The sequence below is a fragment of the Homo sapiens genome, chromosome 2 (assembly GCF_000001405.40).
Source record: "Homo sapiens chromosome 2, GRCh38.p14 Primary Assembly".
NCBI lineage: Eukaryota > Metazoa > Chordata > Mammalia > Primates > Hominidae > Homo > Homo sapiens.
The window spans coordinates 21,070,554-21,088,944 of NC_000002.12; the positions used below are offsets into that span (position 1 = coordinate 21,070,554).

At 36.9% G+C, this 18,391-nt stretch overlaps 1 long non-coding RNA gene across 2 annotated transcripts in view; it reads left to right on the forward strand.

Moving 5' to 3' along the window:
- Positions 1–18,391, forward strand: part of LOC124905593 (uncharacterized) — a 27,037-nt gene continuing 8,646 nt past the window's right edge. For both annotated transcript variants that reach the window (XR_007088660.1, XR_007088659.1), the window contains exon 1: positions 1–578. This is a non-coding gene — a long non-coding RNA (uncharacterized LOC124905593). The remainder of the gene's footprint in view (positions 579–18,391) is intronic.

Consider the following 18,391-nt stretch of genomic DNA (forward strand, 5'->3'; position numbering starts at 1 on the left):
AGGCTTTTCCTAGCTGATATCCTTCTGAGCTGTGGTAGAGAAAGGGGAAGCAGTGCCCTCATGGCTCCTGGATTTACAGTTCCTGAGGAAGAACTGACAAATAGAGGAAGACTTCCCTAATATCAAATGAAGCAGAACCTTCTGGGCAGAAGGAAAACAGGTGATGTTGCAATGACAGGGCTCACCTTTCCACCTCGTGTTTGATGAGGGTTTGAGAAAAGAGCCACATTCTTTCCAAAAGTCAGGTCAGAAGCCTTTCCACACTTTGGTTTCCCAATTCAGCACCCGTAATGTCAAATAAAACGAAGGCCCTTGCCCCAAGTGAAGTCATCAGCAAATATCTCTTTGCTTTCCGGGGGACTGTGTTCTCTCACAACATCTTTTGGAATTATCACTTCATACTGAAACAAGGGTTTGATCTTTTCATGAGATGTATGGTGATGAAATTAAGGCCAGGGGCTCTGGGGACAGAAGAGAAGGCTGGCGCCACTCGTATGCCCTGGAGAAACAGTGAGATGAAGAGCACAGCCTCTAGAGCCAGAGTGTCTGGATCTAAAATTGGCTCTGCCAACAAGCATGTAAGTCACATAGCTTTTATATGTTTCATATGAAAATGGAATAAAAGTCTTATCTATAGGAATAAATAAGTCAATAGAAGTGACGCACTTAAAACAGTGTCTGCGTATAGTAGGCATTCAGTGAGGTGCTGGCTATTACTGGGGTGTGAGAACAGAAACAGTCATTTGCTCAATCCCAAGTTTATTTTGGTACTTTGTTTCTTTCTTGTAATAAGGACCAGTAGTTTCAAGAATCCTAGAACGTTAGAACTGAAAGGAACGTTCATTTTATGGCTATGTAAGGCTCAGAGAGAGTGGAGCCCTCCAAGGTCACGCAGCTACCTGGTGGCAGTTTCAAGACCAAACACCAGGCTTCCCATTTTCTGGACCACTCTCCACTCTACCACCCTCCTTCCTTGGAGGACGATGTCCAGGACCAAGATAATGCTGTTAGGGCAATGATAACAACTGGAACTGTAGTAGCCCCTCCAACGGCTCCCTTGTCACTACAAAGACAATCTTAAGCGGGTTCATTCATTCATTCATTCACTCAGCACTGCTTTTTAAGCTATTCTCAAACAGTACAGAAAAGCGAAACACAGTTCTCATTCTTAAAGAGCTTCTATTGAAATTAGAGCAATAAGATATGAAGATAAAATTATACAATAGTACAATCACTTACATTATACAATATTTATATAATTATATTTTATAAATATAAATATATTTTATATTTATAAATTATACAATAATACAATCATTTATGTTAAGTGTCTAAGTATTAGACAGCTTACATATATTCTATCTAATCAGTTGCTAGTAAAAGAGTTTACATTAAGGTTAATAACATTATGAATTCCTAAAATAAATGAAACCAAGCAAGCAAGGAAAAAGATGTGCAAAGCAGTTTGGAGGTTTAATAAGACAAAAAAAGACACCTGGCTAGAAGGATCAGGAAAGTCTTCATGCAGTAAGAGTAAGTGGCATTAGATGTGGGCCCTGAAACATGAATAGGTAACAGAATTAGAATGTGACCTTTTCCTCTCTCCTCCATGAATAATTACTTTCTAAATATAAATATACGCAAATGTATACATATACTCGTACAAAGAAATGAAATACAATTCTACATAAATTTTCTATGGAATTTCAAAGACAAGTAAAACATAAATGAATCCAAAAGGCAAGAACTTCCAGCACTTCCACCCTATTCTGTGCAAGGCAATTGAAGAATAAGAGGGCTTGTTTTAAGAATTATCATCACATATGAACTTCTAGTTCATCTGTAACAGTGGTTCCCAACCTTTTTGACACCAGGGACTGGTTTTGTGGAAGACAGTTTTTCCACGGATGGGGATCGGGAGTGAGATGGGACTGGGGTGTGGGGGTGATAGTTTCAAGATGAAACTGTTCCACCTTAGATCATCAGGCATTAGATTCTCATAAGGAGTGCACAACCTAGACCCCTAGCATGAACAGTTCACAACAGGGTTCATGCTCCTATGAGAATGTAATCCGCTGCTGGTCTGGCAGGGGGCAGAGTTCAGGCCATAATGCTGGCTTGCCTGCCACTTACCTCCTGCTATGTGGCCTGGAACCTAACAGACCAGAGAGTGGTACTCGTCTGTGGCCTGGGCTTGGGGACCCCTGATCTATAGGATACAAGACAAGTCACTCCTCACAAGGAAGAAGGATGGTCATGATCAGATTTGGAGAGACAAGCTGATAGACTGGATTTCTACTGCCACCATGCCTGTGTATCAGTGGAGGTCTTAAGTAAATTATTGGATAATACTGCAGGAGGACAGTCAGAGCCACTGCAGGACTCCAGGCTAGATAGGGAAGTGGGGGTAAAAATACAGAGAAGGACATTTGTTCTATAATGCAGACTGTTTTCCAAAGCAGCTACACTATCTTACATTCCCATCAGCAATGAAGCAGGGTTCCAGCTTCTCCACATCCACATTATCTGTCTTTTCAATTACGGTCATTCCAGTGAATATGAATTAATATCTCATTGTGGTTTCAATTTGTATTTTCCTGATGGTTAATGATGTCAAGCATCTTTTTGAGTGCTTATAGGCAATTTGTAAATCTTCTTTGAGAAATATCTGTTCGTGTCCTTTGTCCAGTTTTAAACTGGGTTGTCATTTCATCCTTGAGTTGTAATAATTTTTTATTACGGCTACAAGTCCTTTACCAGATATATGATTTGCAAATATTTTCTTCCATCCTTTGGTTTGTCCTCTTACTTTCTTTATCTTATGTTTTGAAGCACAAATGTTTTATAATTTTGATGAAGTCCTATTTATGTCGTTTTTCCTTTTGTCACTTATGCTTTTATTGTCATTTTTAGGAAACCACTAAGAAACCAAGGTTACACAGATTTACTTCTATATTTTTTTCTAAAAGCTTTATAGTTTTAACTTTTACATGAAGGTCTATGATCCATTTTGAGTATTTTTTTTTGGCATGGTGTGAGAAAGTGGTCCAACTTTACTTTAAAAAAATAAACTTTACTTTTTAGAAATTTTAGATTTACAGAAAAAATTGAGAAGATAGTACAAAGATTTCCCATATATGCTACGTTTCCCCTATTAGTGTGGTATATTTGTTACAACTAATGAACCAACAGTGATAAATTATTATTAACTGAAGTCCATAATTTATTCAGATTTTTCTAAGTTTTATATAATCTGCTTTTTTTTTTTTGTTCTGGGATCTCATCATGGATACCACACTACATTTGGTCATCATGTCTCCCTAGGCTTCTTTGGCTGTGACAGTTTCTCTGGCTTTTCTTGCTTTTAATGACCTCAACAGTATTGAGGAGTAGTGGTAGGACATCATAAAGTGTCCTTCTGTTGGGATTTAACTGATGTTTTTATTATGATTAGAGTAGGGATATATGCCTTTAGACTGGGCTAGGGATATGTGTTTTGCAAATATTGTTTCCCAGTCTGTGAATGGTTCTTCATCCTCTTAAAAGGTCTTTTGCAAAGAAGAAACTTTTAATTTTAATGAAGTTCAACCTATCATTTTCTTCTATATTTTCTTTTGGAAGTTTCATAGTTTTGTGTTTTACATTTATGTCTAATCCATATTGAGTTAATTTTTTAAAAATGTTTAAGGTTTATGTCTTGTTTTATTTTATTTTTTTAAGATGAATTCTCTTTCTGCTGCCCAGGCTGGAGTGCAGTGGCATGATCTTGGCTCACTGCAACCTCCATCTCTTGGGTTCAAGAGATTCTCCTGCCTCAGCCTCCCAAGTAGCTGGGATTATAGGCACTCACCACCACCCCTAGCTAATTTTTGTATTTTTAGTAGAGACAGGGTTTCACCATGTTGGCCAGGCTGGTCTTGAACTCCTGATCTCAAGTGATCTGCCCACCTCAGCCTCCCAAACTGCTGAGGTTACAGCATGAGCCACTGCTCGCAGCCTATGTCTTGTTTTACATTTTTACATGTAGACTTCCAATTGTTCCTGCACATTTGTTGAAAGGATGATTCTTTCTCCATGGAATTGCCTTTGCTTCTTTGTCACAGAAGACTTGACTATTTGTGTGGGTTTATTTCTAGGCTCTGTATGCCATTCCAGTGATTTATGTGTCTATTCTTTCTCGAGTACCACACTGTTTTAATTGCTGTAGCATCATAGTAAGTCTTGAAGCTGGGAAATTTCAGTCCTTTGACTTTATTCTTCTTTAATATTGTGTTTGGTATTCAGGGTCTTTTGCTTTTTCGTATAAACTTTAGAGTCAGTTTGTTGGTACCCATAATGTAGCTTGCTGTGATTTTTATTGGGTTAATATTGAATCTATAAATCAATTTATGAAAAACTGACAATATTAAGTCTGCCAATCCATAATTATGGACTATGTCTGCATTCATTTAGATCCTTGATTTTTTTTAATCAGAATGTTGAAGTTTTTTGCATGGTGACCCTATACGTATTTTGTTAGATTTATTTCATTTTTCAGTGTTATTATAAATAGCATTTTATCAGTATATAAAAAAAGCATCAACTTTTGTATATCAGTCATGTAATCTGCAAACTTGATATAATCACTTTTTAGTTCCAGGAAATTGTTTTGGTGATTATTTGGGATCTTCTACATGGATAATCATATCATCTGTGCATGCAGATAGGTTTTTTAGCTAGGACTTCCAGTACAACATTGAGTAGGAATAGTGAGAGACATTCTTGCTGTGTATACAATTTTATGGGAAAAAAATTCAGTTTTTCAGTATGATGTTAACATTTTTTTTTCTTTCTTTTGGTAGCTGTTCTTTTTCAAGTTGAGAAAGTTCATCTTTATTTTTATTTTGTTGAGAGTTTTTATCAAGAATTGCTTTTGGAGTTTGTTAAGTGCTTTTTCTGCATTAATTGGTATCATCATGTTTTTTCTTCCTTAGCTAGCTGAGGTGTTAGGTTATATTCAGTGTTGTGATGGGTTATATTGATTTAATGTTGAATTGGATTTGAATACCTGGAATAAATCCCACTTGGTCATGATTTGTAATTCTTTTTTATACATCATTGAATTTGATTTGTTAATATTTTTAAAGGATTTTTGCTTCTATGTTCATGAGAGATATTGGTCTGTAATTTTCCATTTTGAATATCTTTATATTAGAGCCCTATTGATGGGCTGGTAAAGTCAGGGAGGGAAAACAGTCTACAATTTTATGGTTAAATATCAATGTTTTAGTGTGCCTGGGTCCCTGGCACGAGAACTTCACAAGTGTTTCATAGCTCCCTTCACTTTGATAAGACAGGAAGTGTATAGGGGGCTGGAGGCAGGAAAATATACTTTCCCCAGGTGGGGTAAGGCTCTGGTAAAATCTTTTCCCTGCAAAGTAGGCCTTGGTTATGGTGCATGTTCTAGAGTTATTTCAAAATGGGAACTTTTTCTACCACCTGCTAGAGCCATGAGAGTTTTCTTAGCTCTCACTGTGAAAACCTGGTGGGGTTCCTAGAGGTAAAGCCCATGAACGTGTAGTGCTGCCTTGTATGACTGAGGCCTCCATGGGTTTCTCACTCTCAGGCTAGTCCACACTTAGCGTCCAGCAATTTGTCAAAGTTACCATTTTAATTTTCCTATCAATTTATGGCAATAGTGATTCCTTCTCCAGGTAAGCAGATCTGAGTGACTCTCTGGGTTCGACTACCTGTCCAGATTTTGGAATGACTGCCCTGAAACCTCAGTTCCCTGATGGATCTGAGCAAAGTGATTGACTTTTAGTTTATTCTTTTTTTTCCTCTTATTGTAAGATCGGGAGTGATGACTTCCAAGCTCTTAACATGCAGGGCTGAAACTTAAAGTTCCAACTTCATTCTTTGCATTCGAATATGCAATTGTACCAGCATCGCTTGTTGAAAAGACTCTTCTTTCCCCATTGAATCTTGTGACACTCTTGTCAAAAAATCACTTAACCATAAATGTGAGGGTTTATCTCTGGACTCTCATTTTATCCTGCTGATCTATGTGTCTACTCTTATGCCAATACCACACTGTCTTGATTATGATAGCTTTGTAGTAAGTTTTGAAATCAGGCAGTGTGAGTCCTCCAACTCCATTGTTCTTTTTCAAGATTGACTATTCCGGTTTCTTTGCATTTCTATATGATTTTTAAGATCAGCTTTTAAATTCCTGCAAATAAGCAAATAAAATTTTAAAGTAGATTCCCTGGAATCTCCAGATCAGTTTGGAAAGTTTGGCTATCTTAACAGTATTAAGTCTTAACTCATTCCATTTATTTAGGCTTCTTTAATTTCTTTCAAATATGCTTCAGAGTTTTCAATATACAAATATTATACTCCTTTTGGTAAATTTATTTCTACATATTTTATCCTTTAGTGCTATTAAAAATAACATTTTTTTAATTTCATTTTTAGATTGCTCATTGTTAGTGTCTAGAAATAAAATTGATTTTTATGTATTGACCTCCTATCCTGCAATCCTGCAATCCTGCAAAACGTACTTATTTGGTTTTTAAATTTTTTTTCAGGTTTTTTTTTATGGTTTTGAGTATTTCTTTTAGGGTGATTGCTTAAAGCTTCTCTGGTTCAATAAAAGTGAATTTAAAAATGCCCGCAAGAGTTATCAATTGGATTGATTATTATACTAAAAAAATACTCTAGGTAAAGTTTGGTGATAAGATGAACAGTAGCTAGAATGAGTTATGGAGTTGAGAGGGGATATTTTTGTCATGGGCCCAACTTGAGGGTGTTTATAGGCTGAAGAGAAGAAGCCAGTGGGAAGAAAGAGTTTGATATTAGAGAAAAGAAGGAGACGGTGGATGAAGAAGTGGCAAAGGAGTCAGAAGGGAGTGGGTTAGGTGTAGCTACTGGTTCTGAAATACCTTAAGGTTTACCTTGTCTTCCTAGATATTGGGGAATGAGTCCAGGGTATAGATATGAATGAACATGTGGACTGGAATGTACAATAAAAAAGCTGACAGGAAGCAAGATGCTGGTGGAGAGTATGCTTGATAACTTCAATTTCTCCATGACATAGGAGTCCAGGGGATTTGCTGAAGGGAGAGGTTTTGAGGAGAGTAGTGAGGTTCGGAATAACTATTTAGAAAACAATTTGGAATTTGAGAATTAAAGCCATCTTTTAAATAGAAAGTCTTTCTAATTAAAAATCTCTAAAGGCTTTTAATAGAATTATATTTTTAAAGGATAGAAAATTCTCTAAAGTCTTTTTAATAGAAAGAATTCTATCAAGAAGAATAGAAAATTCTCTAAAGTCTTTTTAATAAAATATTCTCCATATTACTACGGCAACTGAAATCAGACCAGAATGAAGGTGGATGTCTATAAGATCCCTGCTGTGTTTCCATCTTCTGGATGGTTTGCCAAAAAAGTCTAAGAGAAATTTTAGCTAAGCATTATGTAAACTATCCTGTGACCAAGACCCACTTGGCTTTGATCCCCATTACCCCAACCCCTTTCCTGAATTCTTTATTGTCTCTGAAATAGATCAATGAGGAAATGGTTTCTTTCCAAACCTCTGTTGGGGATAATAAACCTGCTACATGCCTGGTAGGATGATCATGCTTCTGCCTTAAGGCTTATATCCTGGAATATATCCTGGAATATATATATATATATATCTCCTGGAATATATCCTCTGATGTAAAAATTAAATCCCAGTTTAAACATAAAATCCTGGAATCTATCCCTTAACATCTGCTCCAACAGAAACTGAAGTCTGAGCTAGTGTTTTTTTCTTCCCCAGAGTTGTGCTTATGCATGTAGAGGTGTTATGGACTGAATGTTTGTGTCTCCCCCAGAAGTCATATATTGAAGACTTAACCCCCCAGTGTGATGATATTTGGATATGGGCCTTTGGGTGGTAAAGTTAGGTGGGGCCATGAGGGTGGGGTGCTCGTGATGGGATTAGTGCCCTTATAAAAAGAGATGTGAGAGAGCTTGTTCTTTCTCCTTCCATGCTTGCAAAAGAGGTCATGTGAACACATAATAAGAAGGTAGCCATCTGCAAGCCAGGAAGAGAGCCCTCACTAGAACTTGACCCTGCCAGCATCTTGATCTTGGACTTTCAGCCTCCAGATTGTGAGAAAATAAATGTCTGTTGTTTGAACCACACAACTCATAATTTTTTACGGCAGCCTGAGCAGATTAAGACATATTTTGGTACTGAGAAGCAGGGTGCTACTGTAACCATAACTAAACATGTGGAAGCAGCTTTGAAACTGGGCAATGGGTAATGGGTAGAGGCCAGAAAAGTTTTTTTTTGTTGTTTGTTTGTTTGATTATTTTTATTTTTGTAGACACAGGGTTTTGCTATGTTGCCCAAGCTAATCTTGAACTCCTGTTCTCAAGCGATCTTCTAGCCTCAGCCTCCTAAAGTGCTGGAATCGCAAGTGTAAGTGATCAAAGCGGCCAAAATACCCCCCTTTTTTATTATACTTTAAGTTCTGGGATACATGTGCAAAACATGCAGATTTGTGACATAGGTATACACGTGCCATGGTGGTTTGCTGCACCCATCAACCCATTATCTACAGTAGGTATTTCCCTAATGCTATCCCTCCCTTATCCCCCAACCCCCTGACAGGCCCAGGTGTGTGATGTTCACCTCCCTGTGTCCGTGTGTTCTCATTGTTCACCTCCCACTTATGAGTGAGAATATGCGGTGTTTGGTTTTCTGTTCCTGTGCTAGTTTGCTAAGAATGATTGTTTCCAGCTTCATCCATGTCCCTGCAAAGGACATGAACTCATCCTTTTTTATGGCTGCATAGTATTCCATGGTGTATATGTGCCACATTTTCTTCATCCAGTCTATCACTGATGGACATTTGGGTTGGTTTCAAGTCTTTGCTATTGTGAACAGTGCTGCAATAAACATACATGTCTTTATAGTAGAATGATTTATAATCCTTTGGGTATATACCCAGCAATGGAATTGCTGGGTCAAAAGGTATTTCTGGTTCTAGATCCTTGAGGAATCGCCACACTGTCATTCATGGCCATACTGCCCAATGTAATTTATAGATTCAATGCTATCCCCATCAAGCTACCATTGATTTTCTTCACAGAATTAGAAAAAACTACTTTAAATTTCATATGGAATCAAAAAAGAGCCAGTATAGCCAAGACAATCCTAAGCAAAAAGAACAAAGCTGGAGGTATCTTGCTACCTGACTTCAAACTATACTGTAGGGCTACAGTAACCAAAACAGCATGGTACTGGTACCAAAACAGATATATAGACCTATGGAAGAGAACAGAGGCCTCAGAAATAATGTCACACATCTACAACCATCTGGTCTTTGACAAACCTGACAAAAACAGGCAATGGGGAAAGGATTCCCTATTTAATAAATGGTGTTGGGAAAACTGGCTATCCATATGCAGAAAACTGAAACTGGACCCCTTCCTTACATCTTAGACAAAAATTAACTCAAGATGGATTAAAGACTTAAATGTAAGACCTAAAGCCATAAAAATTCTACAAGAAAACCTGGGCAATACCATTCAGGACATAGGCATGGGCAAAGACTTCTTGACTAAAACACCAAAAGCAATGGCAACAAAAGCCAAAATTGACAAATGGAATCTAATTAAACTAAAGAGCTTCTGACAGCAAAAGAAACTATCATCAGAATGAACAGGCAACCTACAGAATGGGAGAAAATTTTTGCAATCTATCCATCTGACAAAGGGCTAATATCCAGAATCTACAAAGAGCTTAAACAAATTTACAAGAAAAAAAAAACAACCCCATCAACAAGTGGGTGAAGGATATGAACAGACACTTCTCAAAAAAAGACATTTATGTGGCCAATAAACATGAAAAAAAGCTCATCATCGCTGGTCATTAGAGAAATGCAAATCAAAACCACAATGAGATACCATCTCACACCAATTAGAATGGTGATCATTAAAAAGTCAGGCAACAACAGATGCTGGAGAGGATGTGGAGAAACAGGAATGCTTTTACCCTGTTGGTGGGAGTGTAGATGAGGCCAGAAGAGTTTTGAGTTGCATGCTAGAAATATAAACATTAAGGGTGGTTCTGGCATGGAAATAGGGAACATGTTATTGGAAACTGGAAGAAACGCAATTCTTGTTATAAAGTGGCAAAGTACTTGGCTGAACTACGTTCTGGTGTTTTGTGTGAGGTAAAACTTGTAAGCAATGAAACTGGATATTTAGCTGAGGAGATTGCTAAGCAAAGTGTTTGAAGGAGAAGCCTAGTTTATTCTGACTGCTTATAATAAAATGCAAAAAGAGAAACATGAATTGAAGAATGAATTTTTAAGCAAAACATTTTGGAAAATTCTCAACCTAACATTATTGCAAAGAAGAAGAAAGCTTGTTCTGAAGAGAACACTAAGGGTGTGGCTAAACAACCATTTGAAAAAGATCATGGGTGCAACTCATGGACTTAATCAGCCATCTCAACAGAGGCTGGGAATACAGATTGGATTATGCCATCAGAGATACTGCCAGTTTGAAGTAAAGGAGACAGAAAAGGTAGTAGAGAATGGAGGAAGGCTGTCAGACTTTTTGGATTTTACAGGATGAAACCATAGAGTATTTCGCTTTGAACGTGTGCTACCTTTCAAGAACAGAGAAGGAACCCAAGGATGATTCAGAAGTCCTTAGGACTGCCACTCTCACCATGGTCCGGGCCCAGTGGGACAGGCTGCCTCCACCTCAGTTTCAAAGGGTAGTGCTGTGCCCAGCAGATCATGGATGGGGACTTTCTGAGAATTCAATGGATGGAGCTTCCCCCTACCCTCAGCTGAGGTAATAAGGCTACCCCCACAGAACTGAAGGGGTTGGGCCACCCACAGAGCTGGGGGGTGACAATGCCACTCCAATGCACCTCGAAAGGGCAGAACATCAAAGCAAAGCGGATAATTCTTGAACTTTAAGACCTAATGGAATTTGTCTTGCTAAGTTTGGACTTGCTATCACCCTTTCTTCTTTTGTATTCTCCCTTTTGGAATGGGAATGCCTATCCTATGCCTGCCCCACCATTGTAATTTGGAAGCATGTAATGTGTCTGGTTTCACAGGCTCATCACTAGAAAGGATTTTTTTTTTTGCTTCAGGATGAATTATACCTCAAGTGTTACCCATATTTGATTTAGATACTATTTAGATGAGACTTCAGACTTAAGAACTGATGCTACAATGAGTTAAGACTTTAGGGCTATTGGAATGGAGCGAGTATATATTTTGCATATGAGAAGAAAATGAATTTTTGGAGTCCAGGGGTGGAATGTTACAGGTTCAATGTTTATGCCTCAACCCCTCTGCCATTTATATATTGAGGCCCTAACTCCCAACGTGATGGAATTTGGAAAATGGGGCCTTTGGAAGGTAATTAGGATTAGATGAGGTTGTGTGGGTGGAGCCCTGTAAGAAGAGACATCAGGGAGCTTGCTTGCTGTCTCTCTCTTCCTGCACATATGTATACAAAGAAGAAGTCATGTGAGCACATGGTGTGATGGCGGCCACCTACAAGCCACAAGAGGAGAACTCAGAATGAAACCTACCTTACCAGCACCTTAATCTTGGAGTTCACCCGACTCCATAACTGTGAGAAATAAACTTCTTTCTTTTAAGCCATCTAGTCTATGGTATTTTGTTATGGCATTCTGAGCTAAGACAGGAGTTAATATTTATTAAATACCAACTATGTGCTAGGCACTGTGCCTCATTTAATTTTAAAACAAAACTAGGAAGTAGGTTTTAGTATTTCCAATTTGCCTGTGAAGAAAATAAAGCTCAGCATCACAAAACTAGTAAGTGATGGCAGATATTATCACATTGCCTTCCACTCCAAAGAAGCTGAACTGATTTATTCTCTCACCAACAATCCCCTCCCCACACACTTACCAACCTTGATAACTAACCCCCAATACATAGATATGTTTTATTGTTAGGGTTTGATTTCATTTCTCCCTTTTTCAAGCTAATGATTAAAAATGACTGACAACTTCTGAACTTGGTACAAAATATTGTCTTTGATATAATATGAGCAGGTATACATCTACGTTACTTTTTGAATGGCTATATTTTATATTATTGCATATATGTAAAATCTTGTTGTGACTATTTATTCAACAAACCCCTATGCCCCATAAAACACTTTTAAGTTGTATCAAGTCCTTCTCTGTTAAAGAAAAGCAACAACAATTTTTAAAAGATGCTTCAATAAACAGCCAGTATACCTATCTTTGTGGTTATGTGTAAGTCGATTGGTAGGATATAGTCCCAGGAGTAGAAGTGATGTTCAGAAGACATACAAATTTTTTATCTTACGTAGTCTTCTCTACTAAAAAAATTTATTCTGTGTTTTCTTCTAGTTCTTCTATGATTTCATTTTTTTACATTTATTTCTTGGATTCATCTGAAGTTTATTTTGGCATCAATAGTAGTGAAAGTTTGAACCTTAGTAATTTTTACTAATGCCATTTATTGACAAATCAATTTTCAACATTGATTTGAAATGCTGCTTTTATTGCATAAAAAATCCTTATATATACTGATCATCTTCTGGACTATCAATTCTATTTTGTTGATCTAGTTTTCTAATTTCAAATTATTTAATATCCCCATAGCAGCATGCTAAAATGCAAAGGCCCTAGAATGAGGGTGACTGAGGTCAAATCCTAACTCTCCCATTTATGAAATATGTGACTTTAGCCTAGCCCCTAAAGTGTATTTGTTCTTCAGCTTCCTCATCTCTAAAAAGATAAAATGTCAAACTAGTATTGCCTAATGACTCCTTCCCTAAGCCAAAATCTTGAGATGGACAGAAGAGAGGAAGGGGTTGAAGGAACTCCCCTTAAGAAACCATACTCAGAAAGTCACACATACACACACAAACCCATGAGGATTCATGGGGAAGCAGAAGAGTGCTGGGGACTTATATAGGTAGGAAGTGGTGAATTGGAAAGGGAAGGCATCAGGGGGAACTTTTAGGAAATAACTTGAGAAAAGGAGGTTCTAGTTTTACCCTGTTATTGCCCACATTGTTCTGGGGGAGTTGAGCTCAGAGGTGAGATTAGGGAAACTGAAACTGGTTTGGAACTGAGTGATGTGTTCCTAGTACACTGTAAAATTTGGCTGAAGCTTGCCTTTTGGGTGAATATCAGAGGATACTCAGAGCCCCACAAAATAGCGGTCTCAAAACCCAAAACAAATAATAATGCAACTGAAGGAATATACACTAATGATGAAGCTAGGACTCCCAGGTTCACCCTTTCCCTACTGTTCTCCCAAGGAGGAAGGTAGTAGTACCAGCTTGAGCCTCAGGATAACATCACACACCACAGTACTGAAGGCTGTCATGGACGACAGCCTCCACTAAGACAGGTGAAATATCAAGGTTAGCTGGCAAGTGGCTGAGTTGGTATTTGAACATGGTCTCTGATTACAAAACCCATGTTCTTCCTACGAAGTAATTTTTCTCCATTGGGGGAATTCTTCAATAATGACAACAATGACAATTTTCCTCTTGTCATTCAATATAGAACACTATTGGATCCTAAATTTCTTTTAGTATAATGATTATAATAATAACAATAAAAAACTAAACAGGAGAATCGCTTGAACCTGGGAGGTGGAGGTTGCAGTGAGCCAAGATCTCTCCATTGCACTCCAGCCTGGGCAACAAGAGCAAAACTCCGTCTCAATATAAACGAATAAATAAATAAATACATAAATAAAAATAAAAGTGTTTTTTCAAAGGTACAGAATGTTAAGAGAGGGATATTTAGTTGCTTGACATTTTCTCGTCTTGGCTTTTATTCCTAGAATCTGACAGATTACAAGAGACTTTGAACTGGCTTCAAGGATCTCCTTAGCCTTACTGATCCTAAACTCACCACAAGAGATGTGATTATGACTGTGTCATTCTTTTAATTCAATTCAGAATCCCCAGTGGTTACCCGCTGACTATAGGCCAGATTCCTCATTATGAATGCTATTTTGTGCTCATTATCCAGGAAGGGGTTATAAGATATTAGAAGGATTCTTGAGGCATTGTTCCTTTTAGTGTAAGGTTAAGGGGTTAATTGAACATCGGATAATCTCTGAGGTCCGACTCAAACTAAAGTTTTCAAGTCCCTATACCAATAGGCTTCAAATTATCTCCTAAGCCTCGTCTTCTCTAACTCCTTGATATAAACCTATCTTTATTTTTTATGTACTTATAATTTTTTCCATTAGAAATGGAATCAGTTCAGAATGCATAAAGCTTGATATTTAAGAGCTCAAGATCAATGAAGCCTTTTCCTTCTGCTTCAGTGAATTTATTAATTCAGCTCTTCATGTTCCATAAATTGTCACTGATTTAGTAATTTGATGAAAACATTTATATACAAATATTCCATAAAATATAAAGCCTATAGATACCAAGAAGTTTACTCAGCCATAGATAGAGTCTTAGAATAAAACACTCTGAATACACACAAATGAATAAGATATAAGAATATAATAGAAAAGCACTTATACTGGAGGAGTTTGATGATATATGTCCCTGGAGACAAAATTGTATTAGAATCACCTTCTCTCCATCCTGTTTTATTTCAAAGACCTTTCATATAGTACATTGCTTTTATGTTTAGAGTTTATGCCTAAATTTAACTCCATTATTCTTTTAGTTACTTTACTATTTATTTGTTTAAAAAAAGATTTGAAATGCTGGCGTACAATAAACTATTGCAAAGCTTCACAAAGTTCTAAACTCTCCTGGACTCTTTAGTAACTGAGTTATCCTAGATAGTTGCTTTCTATGTAGCTATTCTTTTTAAGAAGAGCATTTTAAAATAATTTTTGTCATTCCAAAAGAAATTTTTCCATAATGAGGGCATCCTCATCAGAGGATAATGAACATAGTATTTTAGTTATGATTAAGATCATCGCTAATCTTTTCCCTTTCTTCAGCAGCATTTATTGAGCAGATATTGGGTGAAGTTGACTATACAGAGTCTGTATAGGACAGGAGTGCTTTCATTTTCATTCATTCCAAAATAATTTGAAACTTCAATTTTGTTATTTCCTTATCCAATGAATTATTTAGAAGTGACATAAAATATCTAGCTGTCTGGGTTCTTTTTTAAAAAAATTTCTAATTTTAACATATTGTGCTTAGTTAAGTAGTTTATATATACATATTTAAAATTTTGCTGTAATTTCCTTAGTGGCTTCTATAAGAGCATTTTTTTTTGGTACATGTTATCAAGTAAACTGTGTATTCTCAGTTAGGTGTAAGTTCTATGTATATCTATTAGGATAACCTTGTTAATTTTATATTTAAATACTCTATATTTTTATTCATAGTATATCATAGTAGCAGACTGTAACAGACCACTATGATGTGATGTGTATTTGTTAATTTTCTTTTGTGATTTTACTAACTTTTTAGGTATTTCAAAATGATATTGAGGCATTTTAGGTTCATGATCATTATATCTTGCTGGTAAATTATTTGACAATATGAAATGTCCTGTTTTGATACTTTTAATGCTTTGACTTTCAATTCTATTTTGTCTGATACTGATGTTGCTGTTCCCATCCTACTGTTAGTACCTGCCAGGTGTAGGCTTTCAAACTTGGAATCATCATGGTTTTGGCTCTCTCCAGTAAGCAGCACTTAGCCGGAGTCTTAAAAATCCAACCTGATATTTTACCTTTTATGAAACAAATTTACCCCATTCATATTTATTTATTTATTTATTTTGTGAGACAGAGTCTCTCTCTGTTGCCCAGGCTGGAGTGCAGTGGCACGATCTCGGCGCACTGCAGCTTCTGCCTCCTGGGTTCAAGCCATATTTATGGTTATTAAAAATATATATTTAAACCTACTCCTGCCATCTTATTTTGTGTTTTCATTTTAACCTTCCTTTCTTTCTTGTTTTCTTGTTTCCCCTTCCCAGCCTTTTCAGGGATTAATGAAATTTTCTTTGTTCCACTTTTCATGTACTGTTTTGAAAACTATATTCTATCTTTATTCTTCCAGTGGTTATATTAACTTTTTAGTCACAAGTGGTTGAATTTGTATTTTCTAATAGTATCTATAATCACTGTCCATTGTCCCCTTTTGATGAACCTTAGAATGCTTTTTTCCCTAAATTCTTCATCAGCACCTACACTTCTATTTTCCACAACCCATGTTGAAATAACCTGGAATTTTTGGCACAGAGTATTTATTAAATATAGTTTTGCAATTATATTTCATAGAAAAATAGATTTTTGGCTTTCTTTGCTAACCACTGCAGCTCCTCGTGAGGTCCTGGATTCATTTTCTTTGTGTATTCTCTAGTAGTAGTTTCAGCTTTCAGAGAGATTCTGCTGTGTTATTAAAACTCTGAATTGGGGCCCGGCGCGGTGGCTCATGCCTATAATCCCAGCACTCTGGGAGGCCGAGGTGGGTGGATCACGAGGTCAGGAGATCGAGATCATCCTGGCTAACATGGCGAAACCCCGTTTCTACTAAAAATACAAAAAAATTAGCCAGGCGTGGTGGTGGGCGCCTGTAGTCCCAGCTACTGGGGAGGCTGAGGCAGGAGAATGGCGTGAACCCGGGAGGCAGAGCTTGCAGTGAGCCGAGATCGCGCCACTGCACTCCAGCCTGGGCAACTGAGCAAGACTCCATCTCAAAAAAAATAAATAAATAAAAATAAAAAATAAAAAAAAATAAAACTCTGAATCCCTGGATGTTTGAAAAACATCTTATTTCTTCCTCACATATTAATGATATTTTGGCTGACAATAGAAATTTGGATTTGAACTTCTTCTTATTCAGCAAACTGAAGGTATTGCTCCAATGTCTTTTCTTCATCCAATATTATCTATGAAAAATCTATGCCAAATTTGATTAGAATTACTATAAACAATCTTTTTTTCACTCTCTCTGAAATCTTCAATAGTTACTCTTTATACTTATAGCTTTTAACATATTGACTATATCCTTAATGCTCTGAATTCTCATTACATTTGTACAGATGTGGGGCCTTTTGTTTTTGTGATGTGTTTGTTTGTTTAAATCCTGCTCTGTGGTTGGTGAACTGTTTCCATTTGAGGGCTTATATTTTTCTTCACTTATAAGAAATTCCATCCTATTATTTCTTCAGATTTTACTTCCCTTCTATTTTCTTTATTAGCTATTAGCTAGAAGTTATGACTTAACAGAACTCTCTTCCATGTCTTTTAAGTTTTCAACTTTTTTTATCACCTTGTGCTACATTCCTACGTTCTGTCTTCTATATATCAAATTCCCTTTTCAGCTGTTCTCATTTTTCTATTTGCATCTACTGAATTTTTTATTTTAATAATTACATTTTTTAAAATTTCCAGGGTTTGACTTTGGTTTGTTTTATCACAGATAGCTCCTTATTCGTTATTTTGATGCCATACTATATTTGAAGACACTAATTAAGCTTCTTAAGAAAAGTCCTTTTCTTATCATCTATTAAATTTTTCAAAGTTGTAATTCTGTTGGGCTGTTATATATATTTTTTTATGGAGGCTGCATGCTAAATATTGTTGATTCTTGACTGTAGGCTCATCTTGGTGATTTGAATTCCCCGCTAGACTCCTTATGCTTTCACTCCCACAGCCAGCCTTAGGGGAGGTATAGAAACAGCTTTTGAGGTTTGTGCTCCTCACTGTTTTCAGTGAGAATGAGGGAAAGTTGAGATGGGTATTGCTGACCCTGCCCCTCATTCTTAGGCTGGCTCCTATGCAGAGACAGACTTGAACTGGTAGAGAGGTAAAGAGTGGGATGTACATGGCATGACCAGAGTGGATGCCTCAACTCATTTTCTTATGATTTGCCTTAGCTTCCACCTCCTGTCTAGTCCTACCTTCTACCATGTCTAAGCATGGGCACCCTTGGTGATGCTCCCGTCTTCTGTGGCAGGACTTTCTAAAAGTTTCCAGTACAAACTCCAGACTACAATTACTCTCTGCAAACAGCCTGTGTACTTTTAGACTTTCTGGGATTTCTCATCATTTTGATTAGCCAAAAATCTCTTTGAATTTAGAAAACAAGCTATACATTCATATACTTAAAAAATAACTTAAGGCTTAGAGTGGAAGGACAGAAGCTGAGAAAGGAGAGGATATCATCGTGCAATTAGTGTTCCATCTTGAAAGTGAAAGCCTCCATTTATATTTTGTGTTGTTTCCCTTTTGTATTGATATTAGGGATACTAAGCAATTGTCACCTACTTTGCAAATACTTGTTACATGTGCCTTTAAATTTCATTTCAGGTATCTTCAGAGACACAGATGTTTTACATTTTAATGAGGACAAATCTGTTCATTTTTCACTTTAAGAT